General features: G+C 34.9%; 2 annotated features.

The window, feature by feature from the left end:
- Positions 1,309-1,368: a silencer, noted in NCBI's record as "silent region_18337". NCBI's record gives its function as "represses an Ori minimal core promoter by ATAC-STARR-seq in GM12878 lymphoblastoid cells {active_cell/tissue: GM12878}" and the evidence as "EXISTENCE:reporter gene assay evidence [ECO:0000049][PMID:35858748]".
- Positions 3,153-3,653: an enhancer, noted in NCBI's record as "OCT4-NANOG-H3K27ac hESC enhancer chr7:83463173-83463673 (GRCh37/hg19 assembly coordinates)". NCBI's record gives its function as "activates a minimal SCP1, AML or CMV promoter by ChIP-STARR-seq in primed H9 embryonic stem cells {active_cell/tissue: H9 hESC(primed)}" and the evidence as "EXISTENCE:reporter gene assay evidence [ECO:0000049][PMID:30033119]".

Genomic DNA, 17,354 nt, shown 5'->3' with positions numbered 1-17,354 from the left:
TATTCTCACTAATAACAATTAAGTATATATTATTGTATTTTAATGACTCAACTTTAATATATAAAATATACTGTATATGATTTTATATTGTATTATTACTATGGTATATTAATAGTATATTATATTGTACTATAAAGTATACATTGTAATTATATTTTAAATGAATGCAATCATGACATATTTTATTATAATGTATATATTTAATATTACATAGTATATTACTTTGTTATGTAATTGTATAGTTATAATCACGAATGCATAATTTGTTTACACCACATTTAATATCATCACATTATTGCATTAAAAACCCTTATTGAGGCCGGACGTGGTGGCTCACGCCTGTAATACTAGCACTTTGGGAGGCCAAGGCAGGCGGCTCACAAGATCAGGAGTTTGAGAACAGCCGGGCCAACATGGTGAAACCCTGTCTCTACTAAAAACACAAATATTAGCCAGGCATGGTGGTGGGTGCCTGTAATCCCAGCTACTCAGGAGGCTGAGGCAGGAGAATCACTTGAACCCAGGAGGCGGAGGTTGCAGTGACCTGAGACCACACCATTGTACTCCAGCCTGAGCAACAGAGACTCTGTCTCAAAAAAAAAAACCTTATTGAGTACTTACTATGTGCTAGCCACCGAAATAAGTGCTATATAGCAACTAATGCAGTCCTCAAAACCAACCTCTAACATTTTGTTCCCATTTTAAAGACAAGGAAATTGAAACAGATTAATTTGTTTGCCTGGTAAGTGAAAGAAATGGAATTCAAACTAAGGTATGTCTAAATCTAAAATTGTTTCAGTGGACACATCTCTATGCTACCTACTCCTACTTTACATTTTTTAAAGAAATACCAAATATTGTACAAGTATGCATTTTAAGGGACTGTCTTTAGATTCCTAAATAAAAACAGTATGTCATCTAACAAAAGTTTCTTTTTCTAGGCATCAGCAAAATAATCATAATTACATTAAATTACACATACACAGTTTCCATGCATTTTAAGTTATGTTATATTTATAATAATAAAACTGCTATCAACAACTGAATTCATCAAGGAGAAAAACAGACGGATACTAACAGGGTTTGGTGCCATCTCTTTTCCTCAATTCCAAATTACAGTTAATATTAGAGTAGGAATAACAAGCTAATTAAAGTCAATAATCAGTTGATTTTTTTTTAATGCCCAGATGACAGCACTGATGGTCTGTCACCAAATGTCATTCTAACACTTAGAATTTCTGAAACTATTATGAAACGAGAGAGGATGTGAGAAATGTTTAACAGGTGCTGCCAACTCTAGTCAATCTCAATGCTCAGCTTTGCACTCAGGTGTTTGAACATTGAGTAATGAAAAGATACAGCAGCCTGGATCTATCCTTCTGCTGAAAATGGAGCCCATGGCTAAAGCCTGAAGGTGGTTTAATTAGCTCAGAGGGAGTGCATAGCATTGAACACCTTGTAAATGTGCCTTCTGCCAATCAGTATGTCACCAGTAATTTCAACTGGCTATAATTAGTGAGTAAATTATGTCTCAAATTGTGGCAATTTTTTTCAAGTGGATAGAAATTTTATTTCTCTTCTGTCACAACATTCTGAATTTGTTGCAAATTTTTCTCTTCTATATTCTTTTCTGCTCCTGTAATTAGATAAAGAGCCTCACGTTTTGACAGAAGCAGGGGAAACCATCCAAGAGGATTACTTTCTACATTTTTATTTATTTTTTCTAGATAGGGTTATGATGTCCTAAATCCTATTGTTCATCTGCAAAAGTAAGGGTTTGCCATGCACTTCCCCATCTGAATGGAGGCATTATATTTTAAAATTATTTCCCACATATTTTTTTCTAAAACCTCAAAATACTTCTAGCCAAATATTTGATTGAATGCCAAGAAACCATGAACACAAATATCTAATTCATGTAATTAACTCACAGGCAGTATTCTTTCAAGAAATGACATGCAAGTTTTGTGTAAAAAGGATTAAGTAATTTAAACACAAAATCCCTAATAGAAGTAGTTAAGGTTTTCCAACTTTTAAATGTGTTAGGTACTTAAAACCAATTTAAACTGAGATATAAAGATTAACATTCCCATTATGTAATTTAAAAAAGAAACAATAGGGATCATATCCACGAGGATGTTAAAGAAAGACCTTTTATTTTACTCATGAAAGGCACCTGTTCATTTCACTTTAACAAAGAAACTTCTGTTTTTCAACTAGTATCGATAATCTAGTAACATCTCAGAAAATAGCAAAAAGGAAAACAACATTATCAAAATACAAGACATATTGTCTTTCCATTCTGGAAAGACAAAGAACATCTTTCTATACTAGGCTGTTACCCCAAGAAAATGAATATATTACAACTCAAAATTTTGAAGAAGTAAACAAATCCTATACATTGATTAATGCACATTTAGAAAATGTATAAGAATATAACACTTTTTACTCACCTGAAAACATTAACTTGCTGTAACAAATGTTGAGTTCTGTTGCCTTACTTAATAAAACTATAATTCTGAGGCAGAGTCCAAAATCAGTGGGAGAAGGTAATAAAATATAAAATTAGCAATGAAATAGAGAGTCCCCCCATACATAGCAATTAGTAGAACAAAATAGAAAATGTTTTAGTGTTTTTTTTTTTTTTCCCCAGAATCCAAATTTTTACAATCGAAACTAGTTTGTGTTCCCTTGTTAAGATGTAGAAGCGCAGAGATGTGGTTCAAATAGAGCTGATCACACCAATGCTACCCAAAAAGATTATGACCCAGAGCCCTCCTCAATGGATTGAGAAGATTGTTTGCAACACCCTGACTGGACATGTAAATAGTCCTTAGGAATTTGCAAAAATAATGGCTGAAAATAAACAAAAACTTACAAATAAACAACTCTTCAGCTATAGTTTATAAAGCTAATTAGAAATGATAAAACAATAATTTTTGTTAGATTGACTTTCAGTAGTAAATATAAAGATTTTGCCATGATATTTTTCTACCTTATTTAAATATATACATTAATTTCATCAATAAATGAGATTATATCATCTCAACACACGTGGCATAGTGTTAATACAGCATTTTCATAGACTTTAATACAGCTACTCAGCAATTGTAAAGAATGGCAAACTTTGAAGGAAATTAAATAAATCACATGGTATCTCTAGCTCCTTCCATCTCTATGTAAAGAAGCCTACCAAGTTATAAAAAACACACATACATACTCGCACAAAATCTGGCAAATCACAAAATAAGTAATAAAAAAGTTTACACAGGCCTTAAGTAGGCAAGGCTAATAATAACTCAACAATAGAGTAAGCGTTCCAAAATGGAAAATAATCCAAACACTCTTTATATTTGATACTTTCATTTATCTTTCACTGTTTGATGTTATAAAATATGTGAAATTGCATAGTACATAGTGTCAGGCCTCTTGAGCCCAAGCTAAGCCATCATATACCCTGTGACCTGCACTTACACATCCAGATCCCCGGTTCCTGCCTTCACTGATGACATTCCACCACGAAAGAAGTGAAAATGGCCTGTTCCTGCCTTAACTGATGACATTGTCTTGTGAAATTCCTTCTCCTGGCTCATCCTGGCTCAAAAGCTCCCCCACTGAGTACCTCGTGACCCCCCCCCACTCCTGCCTGCCAGAGAACACACCCCCTTTTTCCTTTACCTACCCAAATCCTATAAAACGGCCCCACCCCTATCTCCCTTCACTGACTCTCTTTTCAGACTCAGCCCGCCTGCACCCAGGTGAAATAAACAGCCATGTTGTTCACACAAAGCCTGTTTGGTGGTCTCTTCACACGGACGCGCATGAAACATAGGATACTCTATAAAATGAGAAGTGATTTCTTATATGAAGAAGTCTGATGATTGGAGACCACATAAATCCCAAATGATGACTACATTTTACATTCCTGTTATACTGAAACAGCAAAGGCCTTAGGCTCTTTGATTCTATAGCAATCCTGTGGCAAGAAAGGCTAGTCTTCTAACAAACAAAAGGACAATACTTTTGTGTACCACTGGCATAGATGTCCATAAGGAGTGAAAATAAATTAAAATGACAAGTGCTTCAAACTTTGCTTATGTCAATTGAAAGTGAGGAGTGGACTAGGCAGAGTTCACAAAAAACTGAAAGCAAGATTTGGTAAATAAAACTTGACTTCAAAATTTATCAAAATGATTGTGTTTAAGAACTAAGAACACACTATATAATTTAAACAATACATATTCCATAGTAGTAATTAAGATAACATAGTGATTTCTACTTTTGTTGTTAATTTTATTTCAAAGCCACTAGATGGCTAACAAGCATAGATATATAGATTCGCATGTGTGTGTTCATGTTTTCTTACATACCACACATATTCTTATAATGTATTTTTAAAAATTTCTGCTTGAGCAAATTCATATGAACAAATGGCAAATATAAAGGTTATATGCAAAAATTGCTCACAAAATTTTAGTTTCTTTTAATCTGAAAAAATATGTTTAGAAATATAGGCTGCTATTTTTTTTGTTGCCAATAAGATTGTTTTGCAAAACTGATCATTTCCAAAAGTACTTGAGCTGAAATTAAAAGATGCCTAATCAGAGAGCTAAACACAAAGAAAGTAAACTAAAGATTTCAAATCTCAACTGTGATCTTAATTTTTAACTTAATTTTACATAAATTACATATGTCTTTCATAATTCAGTTTCTTCAGCTTTCAAAAGGTCATATTAATTTTACCAATTGCCACTTGTGAAGATAATTTTGTTACTTCAAGTCAAAGTGTTTCGATATAAATCTTGAGCGTTCACTGTAAAACTTAATGAATATTATCACTGAGTATAAAAGTTCTTATTTTACATAGAAGTTTTAGTCCATATTTTAATTAATAATATTAATAATAAAAATAATATGTCCATATACTTTTCCCAAAACTTTTAGGCCAAATTTCTTTGGGAATTAAGGATTTTTAATATTTGAAACAGTTAAATGGTGCATATGCCGTATCTCACGTCATATTTCCTCTGGACTCTGGGACTACAGTTCATGATGAAACTCATCAAAATGCCCACAGAGAAAAATATATTATTTACCCCATATCACTCACACCTATTATTTTCAAAGTACTTGGATTTCAGAATTGTGAACCCATAATATTTACTATTTTACACACTACTATTTGTTTTATGCCCATTTAATCTACAAAATGATCTTGAATGCTGGCATTACTAGCTCCTCTTTGTAAATGAGGAAATTGAATTTCAGACAGAGTAACCAACTTGTTGATTCAAGGCCACATTTGACTGACTCCAACCACGTGATCCTTCTACAAAGACCTGCTGCTGTGAAAAATGAATGTTAAGGGATAATGTAGATGTGAGAGACATTAATGTGCCTTTTTACACTGAAAGAAGAAAATCCCCACACCTCTCTCCACATTTATATATTATTAGGAGAAAAGTCGCCACGTTTGTATAAAATATTCTAACTCTGATAAAAGTACAAGATGTTTCTTGACCTTAGTCAACTTTGGATTTAGTCACTAAGAAATCTGGCTGATATTTTCTTTTTCTTTCTTTCTTCTTTTTTTTTTTTTTTTTTTTTTTTTTTCAGTGAGGCATCCACTCTCCTCTTCTGGAGAGTATGCGTTCTATTCTTGGAAAATGCAAAATTTGATTCAAAATCCCAATTTTCTTAATAAAACACTTGAAATCTCAGTAAGAAAATGCATAACAAGGAAAATTGTATGTTGTAACAGAAATTTGGAGCTAGACTCAGGTGAGTTTAATCTCAACCTACTAGCCACATATTGATAAATAATCACTAAACCTCAGTTTCTTAACATAAAAAATGGGGATAATAAGATCCAAAAAGGCTCTTGTGAAGATAAGATAGGTGCTTAGTAAATGGTCAGTATTCAGTAAAGGATAATCATGATAAGTCCCATCTTATAAAAGAGGAAGAAGCAACATTAAATTAGGTGACTTTTCCAAATGAAGTAGATCCCAAATCATCTGATATCCAATATAACTGAGCAAAAAAAAAAAGGACATATAGAGCAAGAAATAAAAGTATTAATACTTCCTTAAAGTTATTAATATATATTTTCACTTTGTTTTTCTTAAAAAAAAAAAAAAAAAGAAAAGCCAGCAATTATGTTAAGAAAGACTTCAGGGTCTCTCATGAGGTTGCAATCCAGCTGCCTGTCTTCTTGAGCTGCAGTTATCTCAAGGCTTACCTGGGGCTAAAGGATCAGCTTCCAAGCCCATTCTTGTGGTTGTTGGCAGGCCTCAGTTTCTTACCATCTGTTGAACCAAGAGGCTCAGCTCCTCTCCGACTGTTGGCTAAAGGCCTTCCTCAGTTTCTGGCCACATGGACATTTCCATAAGGGCAACTCACAACATAGAAACTGGCTTCCTCCCATGTAAGTGATCTGAGAAAGAACAAGAAATAGGAGAGAGAGAGTGCTCAGGCTGGGAGTGTGGTGGTGCTACCATGGCTCACTGTAGCCTGGAACTCCTGGGCTCAAGTAATCCTCCTGCCTCAGCCTCCCTAGCAGCTGGGACTACAAGCATGTGCCACCATGCCTGGCTACCACAATCTTTTATAACCTGAACATGAAAATGATATACCATCATTTCCACAATGAGCTGCTGGTTACCTGACCAACTCTGGTACAAGTGAAATGGGACTACAAAAGGACATGAATTCCAGCAGGCAGGAATTTCTGGGTTTATCTTGAAAGGTGGATACCTCACAAAAATGTTGAGAGTGCTCAACTAAAAAACATTCTTTTTATATTTGGGGATCAAATGTATATGCTGAGATAGTGTATAAAATGCTTACAAAAGTAACATTTATTCATTTATTGGTATTCGATAAGTAATTCACAATAATAATTTTTCAGTGACATCGTATTAAGTAAGAAATTCAGCTATTAAAAATTTTCCTAGTTTGCTCACTATTTTGCTATTATTAAATGAAAATAATGATAAAAATTGAATTATGGAGTTATTTCCATAATAGTTTTTACACAAGCCAAAATTAGAAATAATTTTATTCTTTTATCTTTTAACATTTTCAACCTATAGTTTTCAACCTACAGTTAACTAAGAGATTGGTATTAAGCCATTTCCATCTTGTGAGAGTATTTTCCATAATGTTACATATCAGATTGACACCCATTTACCTGTACACACAAAAGCTATAATCCATTGCAGAGCTTTCCTCTCACATAACTTGCAAGGCAAGTGATCAAGTAAATGAAGGACTAAGCGAGAGCACCAATATTAATTCATGTGCTATATGGATTGTTAAAGCTTCATTTTTTTTCTATTTTTCTACCAAAACAATCACATAGAATTTCAAATATTTTTTGATATGCTAGCAGATCATCTTGCACACTTCCCTCCACATTACTTTGGTGACTGCTAATGTAACGAACCCAAAATGTATCTCTGTATGTCCTTGACTTGTCAATTGGTAGAATTTTTTTTTTTCATTTCTTGCTGAAGAGCAGCAGTAAAATGTCAGTCATAACTTCTTTGAAATAATTCAATTCTTTCTGCCATTTATCTAACCTTTCAAAAACAAATGAATCTACCAAAAACAAACAAAAGTAACAGCAACAACAACACAAACCTCAGAATTCTATTGTCACTCCTCAAATAAACTCAGCTACAAAGACAATCAGGATCTCCAAGAAAGGCAGAAGAATATGTAGGTAGAAGAGGAAAAGGTGTAGCTAAGGCACAGTGAAATAACCTCGGTTAAGGTAGGCATCAGGGGAGGCCTGGAGTTAGCACTCTAAATATGTGGTTCTCAGTCTAGACTGCCCATGAGAATCACCTGCTGAGCTTTTAAAAATTCCACTGTGCGGAGTTGAACAAGGAGAACCCATGGACACAGGGAGGGGAATATCACACACCCTGGCCTTGCCGGGGATGGGGGGGCTAGGGGAAGGATAGCATTAGGAGAAATACCTAATGTAGGTGACAGGTTGATGGGTGCAGCAAACCACCATGGCACATGTATACCTATGTAACAAACCTGCACATTCTCCACATGTACCCCAGAACTTCAAGTATAATAAAGAAAATTCCACTGTGCATATCAAATTAATGAGAATGTCTGAGTCTGAGACCAGACATCAAGAGTTTATAAACCTTCCTGGGTGATTCCAATGTACAGCCAAATTCAAGAACCAGTGCTCTAAGTCATAGAGAAACAGACTTGACCCTGATAAATGATTTCTCTGTTGGATATAGTTCAGTGGCTGGCATTTCTAAGTAGCAAGATGCTCAGAGGGAGGATAATAGTACAGCAAATAGTCTATTTTTGAAAGGAACATCGGCCAGTGGTAGAAGTAAAATGATGAGGGAAATCCAACTTTGGGGATTAGGACTTTGTATGATATTAGGCCATGCTTACATTGCTATAAATATCTGAGACTGAGAAACTAATAAAGAGAAGAGGTTTAACTGGCTCACAGTTCTGCAGGCTGTACAAGTATGGCACCAACATCTGCTCGGCTTCTGATGAGGGTCTCAGGAAGCTTACAATCATGGTGGAAGACGAAGGAGGAGTAGGCATGTCACATGACAAAAGCAGGAGCAAGAGAGTGGATGAGGGAGGTGCCACACACTTTTAAACCACCAGATCGAAAAAGAACTCACTATCCTGAAGACAGCACCAGGCCACAACGGATCCACCCCCATCACCCAAACACTTCTCACCAGGCCCCATCTCCAGCATTGCTGATTACAATTCAACATGAAATTTGGATAGAAACAAACATCCAAGCTACATCAGATTTTGGGTGAACTTGGTAGGTTTTCAAGTCTGAACACACTAGATAATGGTCTGGACCTCAGTCTCAGAGAAGAAACCAAAATGCAAACCAAGACAGCAAGACAGAAAGTTCATTCATATTGCCTAGGCAGACATAATGCTTGCTGACATAATGGGAAAGCTCCAGTTCATTCAGCAAATGGTAACCTGGGACCACTACGGCAGCCACATACTATTAGTTGTTTAGAGCACCTGGACTGGTTTGAGACCCTACTCACTGCAGAGGTGGGAGTCCTCATTGCCTACTGTTTTGTGAGCATTAATATTGTTTGCAGTTTAACTTCAAGATGGAGTAGAGAGCCTGCAGTTGGATTTTGAGGAAGGCATCTCTTAGCTTAAAAACGCATTGTTAAAACTTTTCAACAGTACAAAAATCAGAAGTGTAGACAAATGTATTTTGTATATAATAAAAACCCAATACTTAATACCTCCAAAACACCAAGGATATAAATGCTAATTGATAACGATAGAACTGAGCTCTCCTTCCACATTTTATATGATAAATGTTATAGAAATTGCACAGAAAAGATCAACCAATATAATTCATGCCTGAATAAGAATACCACATATAGGTTTTGGGGATGTGTGGTTTCTAGAAAGGGAAAACTGTAGAAACAAACTACATAATGAGATATGCCAGCCATACCCTGGAAGTCTCAGCCTGGATGCAAAATGATTAGCTTAAGCACTTATTTTAATTGTTTGTGAACAAGTGAATTGTTCAAAGTGAATTGAATTTGCTTGTTCCAGGAAGAGAACACCACTAAAATTTGGTTGTATAGGAAATAAAGTTTCCATTTTGAGTATCACTGAGTATAAAATAATCCAAAATTGCTTATACTCAGTGATTTGTCTTCCTGTTGCTTTTTAAATTTTTATTTTTTGCTTTTTCTTTTTAGTCAAATAATAGGGAGAAGAAACTCATGTTTACTGAGTGATTACTCTCTTGGACACTAAACACAATACATTAGTTAACTGAGAACACCTCATGAAGAGGTATGCTTTTCTACTCCTACATTACAAATGAGGAAAATTAGGCTCTGCAATATTAAGAGACTTGCCAGAGGTCACACAATAACTGAAGAAAGCCAGTTAGTCTGACTCTAAACCCCATGTTTTTATTTCTTAAATTTCAACTTTTATTTTAGATACAGGGGGTACATGTGCAGAGTTGGTACATGGGAACATTGAGTAATACTGATCAACCCCATGATTTTAATCCATTTAGGCTTCTACCTTCCTGGTTATTTGAAGATTTGTTGGTGATTGTCGGAATGTATTTTGTATGAAGCAAACTCAGTGATTACTCAGCATTAAAAAAATAATTTAAAACCTATCATTTTTAATGTATTCCTTTAAATGTTGCAACAGAATTAGATTTCTTAAAAATAACAATAATTGTGCCAGATGCAGTGGCTCACGCCAGAAATCCTAGCACTTTGAGAGGCCAAAGCAGGCGGGTCACTTGAGGTCAGGAGTTGAAGACCAGCCTGGCCAACATGGCCAAACCCCCATTTCTTCTAAAAAAAAAAAAAAACACAAAATACAAAAATTAGCCAGGCATGGTGGTGCATGCCTTTAGTCCCAGCTACTTGGGAAGCGGAGGTGGGAGGATATCTTGAACCTGGGAGGCGGAGGTTGCAGTGAGCCAAGATTCCAGGACTGCACTTCAGCCTGGATGACAGAGTGAAACTCTGTCTCAATAAAAAATAAATAAATAAATAACAGTAGTTACTTATCATAATTTTATCCCCGTATTAAAATATAGAATGTAACTTATTGATGTTTTCCACTGCTTAGAAATTCTTAACTTATAAGTTTGGTGATTTTTCACGCTAAAAATATTAAAAAATAAGTAAATAAAATATTGAAAGTAATGGCAAAAACCACAATTACTTTTGCACCAACCTACTATTTATGAAAAGGTGCACTACTCTCATTTTTCAAGGGAATAAAAAATAACCCACAAATGATCTTTCTTCTAGTAAAATGTCTGGTATCATATAAATATAATAAACATTTTAAGTAGCTTGGCTGCTGTGATCTTTGATAAATCACTCTGAGATACAAAGAGACAAGTATGAAATGTAACAAAAATTCCTCTTACCACATGATTCTGAATTAACTTAATGTACATAAAGCTTATGGATATTGTTCTCAAGTGAAAGATAATTCTCCATCAAATTGTGGATAATCTACTTTCTTATGATGAATATAATTAACATGAAATTTAGGTACTATGTAGAACACAGAACCATCACTTATGAAAGACCTTAAGGACAGCAAGTAATAGAATAAAGTGGCGAATAACTTTATAGCTGGAAAGCTTTTACAAGGTCAGAATTGCTAACCAGATGAAATAATCTGAGATGTCAGAGATAAGATTTAAATTAACATTTATTAACAACTCTTAGTGTACTCTTATTTATAACTATACTATCAACATATTTTAAAATGTATTTTCATTTACTATAAATAATTGAATATTGAGATGAAGTTTGTTCATGAATAAACTTGGTTTATTTTAATAATACAGAGCAATTAAAAAACTATAACACATTAGTGACTTACTGCTGTTAGCACACTTTAGAAAACTAAGTGTAATTTTCTTAAAATATGAATCCACAACAAACCAATATTTAATTATAGAATACTGGATTCAGTTGACTTTCTGTATCCCCGGTTTCCACATCCATGTATTCAAGCAATGGCAGATCAAAAATATGTGGAAAAAAAAAAAAAAAAGGATGGTTGCATCTGTACTGGACATGCACAGACTTTTTTTTTTCTTGTCATTATTCCCTAAACAATACAGCATAACAACTATTTACACAACATTTACATTTTATTAGGTATCATAAATAATCTAAGGATGATTTAAAGTATCTGGGAGGATATGCATAGGTTTTTTGAAAATACTGCACCATTTTATGTAAGGAATTTGACCATCTATGGATTTTGGTACCTAGGCTGAGTTACGGAACTGATACCTCATGAATACAGAGGGACAACTGTATTTTACTTTTCGGAATCACCTAGTTTTTCATAGCATTGTCAAATTAAAAGAATTTTTGACATCAAGTAACAAAATTCTAAATGTAAATGCATTTTCTGTTACATAAAAGTGTTCCAGACTTAATTTCATAAATTTTATCCCTATTTTTGAACATTATTCTTAACTAACATTAATACCCAATGTTATTTAATTCTGATGTTTCTAAATGAATAAAATTCAGGAACAGAAGGGAGGGAATATTGCCATGATTTTTTTTCAAAATAGTTTTTTAGACATTTTTATAACCATATAACTATATGCATATTGTGTACCTAAATGAACTTTACATGAAAAGGACCAAAATCACCTTTTATAAATGCAAATACTGTCCTCAAACAACTACTTAAAAGTCCATGCTCAATAAATATAATGATAACCAGAAGTCAAAGACATATTTTCTGATTATTAAGTCATCGCAATAAATAAAATTACCTAGTGTTTTGTTGGATGACTCAACCAGAAGTAAGTATAATTATTCACTACACATTTTCACCTTTTAAAGTCTATTGTTACTAGTAAGAATATTAGAAGTGAGTTACAAGTCATTTGAAAATCAGTTTATAGGGAAAACATTTCAGATATTTGTTCATCTAAAGATGTTACAAAGAAAGGTAAATGTCCATACTTAAGGAAGTTGCTTCTTATAAAAGCACACATTTAAATTGGTCAAAGTTGAAATACTCTATAATGTTAAACCCTTTTCTGTATTTCCAATTAAATAATACATTTAACTTAATCACGGCTGGCCTTTCTTGAATGCTTACTTGTTTCAAGAACTATAGGAAATAAGCACCTTATATTCACTATCTCATTACCTAATGTAGATCTCTCAACAGCATGAGGTACAGAGACTTTTGTTATCTGTATTTTAGAGATGAGAAAATTGAAACAGAGAAATTATGAATCCTACCCAGTTAATTTAGATGAGGTAAAAAAGTGAAAGCCAGCATTGAAATTCTTTCCTTATTCCAAAGCCCACATCCTTTAATTCTATGCTAGGCTGCCACTTAGAACACAAATTGGTAAAATTATCTTCTAGTTCAGTTGAAAATTACATACTAAAGATTTCTACTTCATAGGATATAGAAATAGAATACTGCTGATAAGTAGTAAAAGAAAAGTGACTAAGGTCTGAGTAATAAGAGAAACAACATTGCTCTGTGAGGATAAACTTAAGCCTAGAATAAAGGCAGAGGAAGAATGACTACTACAATAACCTAGGTGAAAGCTGACGGAAGTCAAAAGCAGAGTTGTGATAATAGAAAAAGGGATGAGAGAAAAAGACACATGCACACGTATATTTATTGCAGCACTATTTACAATAGGAAAGAATCAACCCAAATGTCCATTAGTGATAGACTGGATAAACAAATTGCAGTACATATACATCATGGAATACTACTATGCAGCCATAAAAAGGAATGAGATCACATCCTTTGCAGGGACATGGATGAAGCTGGAAGCCATCATCCTCAGCAAACTAACATAGGAACAGAAAGCCAAATACCACATGTTCTCACTCATAAATGGGAGTTGAATATTGAGAAAACATGGACGCAGAGAGGGGAACAACACACACCAGGGCCTGTTGGAGGAGTAGGGGGTGAAGGGAGGGAACTTAGAGGACAGGTCAACAGGTATAAGAAACCACCATGGCACACGTATACCTACAGAACAAACCTGCACATTCTGCACATCTATCCTGTTTTTTTGTTTTTGTTTTTATTTTTTACAAAAAATAAAAAAAAAATTTAAAAATTCCAACCAATTTTGCAAGTCCAACATTGCAACAAGAGTTTATGTTGCAGTCTTGAAAACAAAGACAGTCTAGAGGCAGAATTCCTCCCTCCTAGTGGCCTCAGTCTTTTCTCTTAAAGCCTTCAACTGATTGGATGAGGCCCACAGACATTATGGAGTGTAATCTGCTTTACTCAGAAAGTCTACTGATTTAAATGTTAATCATGCCTTAAAAAATACTTTCATAACAACATCTAGACTGATATTTGACCGGACAACTGGACACCATAGCCTAACCAAGTTGACACATAAAATTGACCATCTCCTCATCCTAGGCCCACTCATTAGTTTACTGATGTTCATGTTGCTTCCGCTCTAAAGGAAAATGATTAGTTAATTATAAGTCCAGTTATGCTTCCCTTGGCTTTTTAACAAGCTAGCAAAAAGCAATAACTTAATAGAGTGCATGTTTTTTTTTTTGAGATGGAGTCTCGCTCTGTTGCCCAGGCTGGAGTGCAGTGGCACGATCTTGGCTAACTGCAAGCTCCGCTTCCTGGGTTCACGCCATTCTCCTGCCTCAGCCTCCCGAGTAGCTGGGACTACAGGCGCCCGCCACCACGCCCGGCTAATTTTTTGTATTTTTAGTAGAGACGGGATTTCACCGTGTTAGCCAGGATGGTCTCAATCTCCTGACCTCGTGATCCGCCCGCCTCAGCCTCCCAAAGTGTTGGGATTACAGGCGTGAGCCACCGCGCCCAGCTGAGTGCATTCTTTTTGACTGCGGCCAAGGCATCAAGTCAGACCTGTCAGAACAAATTCGTATTTAGTGTTTTCTATTTACATAATTGGTATGCAAATATTTACCTGATATTCAGTAGAATTCTACTTGTAAGCCAGCTACTTACATGAAAATCATGGATTCTATAAAATACTTTGTTCAAGATACCAAATTTTAGGAATGTATATGTTAACAGTGGTATTCTGGCATAAAGAAGCCACAAATATAACTTTTTTAGAAATATAATTATTTTTTCTCTGTAGCAATTTATTGCCCCCCGCTAAAAAATTTGTCTTTTATGTTAGTCAAGATCCCAAATCAATTTGCTTAACAAATTGAGATTAAAGAAGCTCAATATAAAATATAACTAAACTGAAATTATATAATCAGATTCTACTCTTATATAGAATTTTCTACAATCTTTAATAATATGATTTTGCAAATATTTAAAATAAGGAAAGCATAATTTCACTAAAAAATCTTTGAGAAAACAATTTGAAATATTAATATCCACACTTTCTCAGGAATATTTTTCTTTTTCATTATAAAAATTTACAAACATTTATATCAGTTTAAAAAAGGTTACAGTAAACACCTGCATTAGTCAAGATTCTCCAGAGGGACCAAAAAAATGGGATTCGGAAAGAGAGAGAGAGAGAGGGAATTTATAAGAAGAATTAGCTCATGTGATTATGGAGGCTGAGAAGTTCCCACTCTAGACCATCTGCAAGCTGGAGACCCAGATGCCAGTTGTGGCTCAGTTCAAGTCACAAGCCTCAGAACCTGGAAAGCCAATGGTATAACTCTCAGTCTGAGGTTAAAGACATGAGAGCACAGGGGGCCACTGGTCCAAGTCCCGGAGCCCAAAGGCCAGAGAGGCTGGAGTTCTGATGTCCATGGACAAAAGAAGTACGTCCAGCTCCAGAAGAGACAGACAAGAATTTTTGCCTTTTCTTTGCCTTCTTGATCTATCCAAGCCCCCAGCTGAATGAATGGCCACATTGAGAGCAATCTTCCCCACCCATGACTAACATGCTAATCTCCTCTGGAAACACCCTCACAGACACACCCAAAAATACTGCTTTATCAGCTCTCTATGTATTACTTAATCCAGTCAAGTTGACACATAAAATGAACTATCACGACAGCATAAACAGTTTAGCATGCATGTTGTTAACTAAAATTTTCAATGTTTGTTTATAGTTCTTCTTTAGGTAAAATTTATATACAATTAAATGCACAAATGTTAATTATATCCTTCTACAAGTTTTGACAAATGCATACAACTATGTAATATAAATAGCTTTTAAACATAGCCATTCATTGGATAAGTTCCCTCATGCCCCTTCCCACTCCATCTTTGCCTGCACTTCGTAGTACACAAACACTATTCTGATTTTCTACCACCATAGATAAATTTTGCCTGTTATAAAACTACCTCTAATTAGAATCATTCAGTTTGTGCTCTTTTGTATAAGGCTTCCATCACTCATGTTGTCCAAAAGACCACCAGGATGGCTAAATGGTAGAAAGGAGAGCTTTGTTGGTGATAATAGTTTGCAATCTGGGAAAAGAAAGTCTCCACCATGGGCTGAAGGTGTTTCCTCTTTGAAGAGGGAAAGAGCAGATTGGGTTTTATGCCTCACAGGGCCTGTATCAGACAATAAAGTCATACATATTCAGCATGCTTGGGGGAAAGCTATACATATTTATGACGGGGTCCTGCAAATGTGCAAACATATATGTAACATAAACATCCGTCGTTCACCTAGGGGTGGGGTTTTAGCATTACAGTGGGGTGGAATTTGGCTCTTTACATCGAAAGGTGAACTACAGGACACAAAGACAGTTTGTGCACAGTCTCTATAAGCTGACTGAACAGGCTTAAGGTCTGCAGTTGCTTATCAGAAAAGAGCGCAAGGCAGGTCCTCTGTCCAATCGGAGTTTTAGTAGTCTGGGTTCTAAGTCAGAGTTGGGGGTATCTGATAGCTTCTGTTGTTAGAGAGTTTAGCAAGAAAGCTTTTTTTTCTTGTAGTTATAGGAATTTAGGAAGTTATCATGCCAGCCGAGACCTGAACCCTCGACCTATAGGTAACTTGAGTTTTCTTAACCATAAGACCTGTCTTAGTTGGTAACGGGGCATCTATTTTGGTCTTTCATATCACATTCAGCATATCTTGGGGAAATTTGGACTGTATATCTATTTATGTGTGCGGTGTTTTCTGTTAGGTTTTTGGCATTATGTCAAATATTTTTTAATGGTTTACCACATATGAATTATAAAACACTATGAGTCACATAATAATTTTGAGCACCTGCAGTAGATGAATCAATGTATTTACTCTTTAAGTGTATTCAATGACTATATATTTGAGTGTTTATAGTTTAGTTAGAGGGACATCAGAAAGCCAGCTATATCAATTCCATTTGAAAAAGTTAGCATGGATTAGTATCAGAGGAAAAATATACACAATTCACCTAATTTAAGGGGTCAGAGTTGTCTACTTGTCTGTTCTAAAATAAAAATAATGAATTGTTTTATTTCTTAATATATGTACCTGAAACAACCAATGACAACATCATAAGAAAAAATAGACACATTATTTATTCATTATTTTAACAACTATTCAGGAGTCTTCTAAAATCATACTACACCAAAAAATAAATTTTATGAATTCTATTTATTTTAAATAAGTAGAAAGTGGATTACCAGAAAGCAATTGTGAAATCCTCTTTATTAGTTTGTTCTCACATTGCTAGAAAGAACTACCTGAGTCTGGGTAATTCAAGAAGAAAAGAGGTTTAATTGACTCACAGTACCACATGGCTGAGGAGACCTCAGAAAATGTACAATCGTGGCAGAAGATACAGTTGGGAAGCAAGGCACGACTTCATAAGGCAGCAGGAGAAAGAGAGAAAAGGAGGAAGTGT

This window comes from Homo sapiens, chromosome 7 (genome assembly GCF_000001405.40).
Source record: "Homo sapiens chromosome 7, GRCh38.p14 Primary Assembly".
In the NCBI taxonomy this organism is placed as follows: Eukaryota; Metazoa; Chordata; class Mammalia; order Primates; family Hominidae; genus Homo; species Homo sapiens.
Note: the sequence above shows the minus strand (reverse complement) of the source record. Positions and strands in the feature narration are given on the sequence as shown.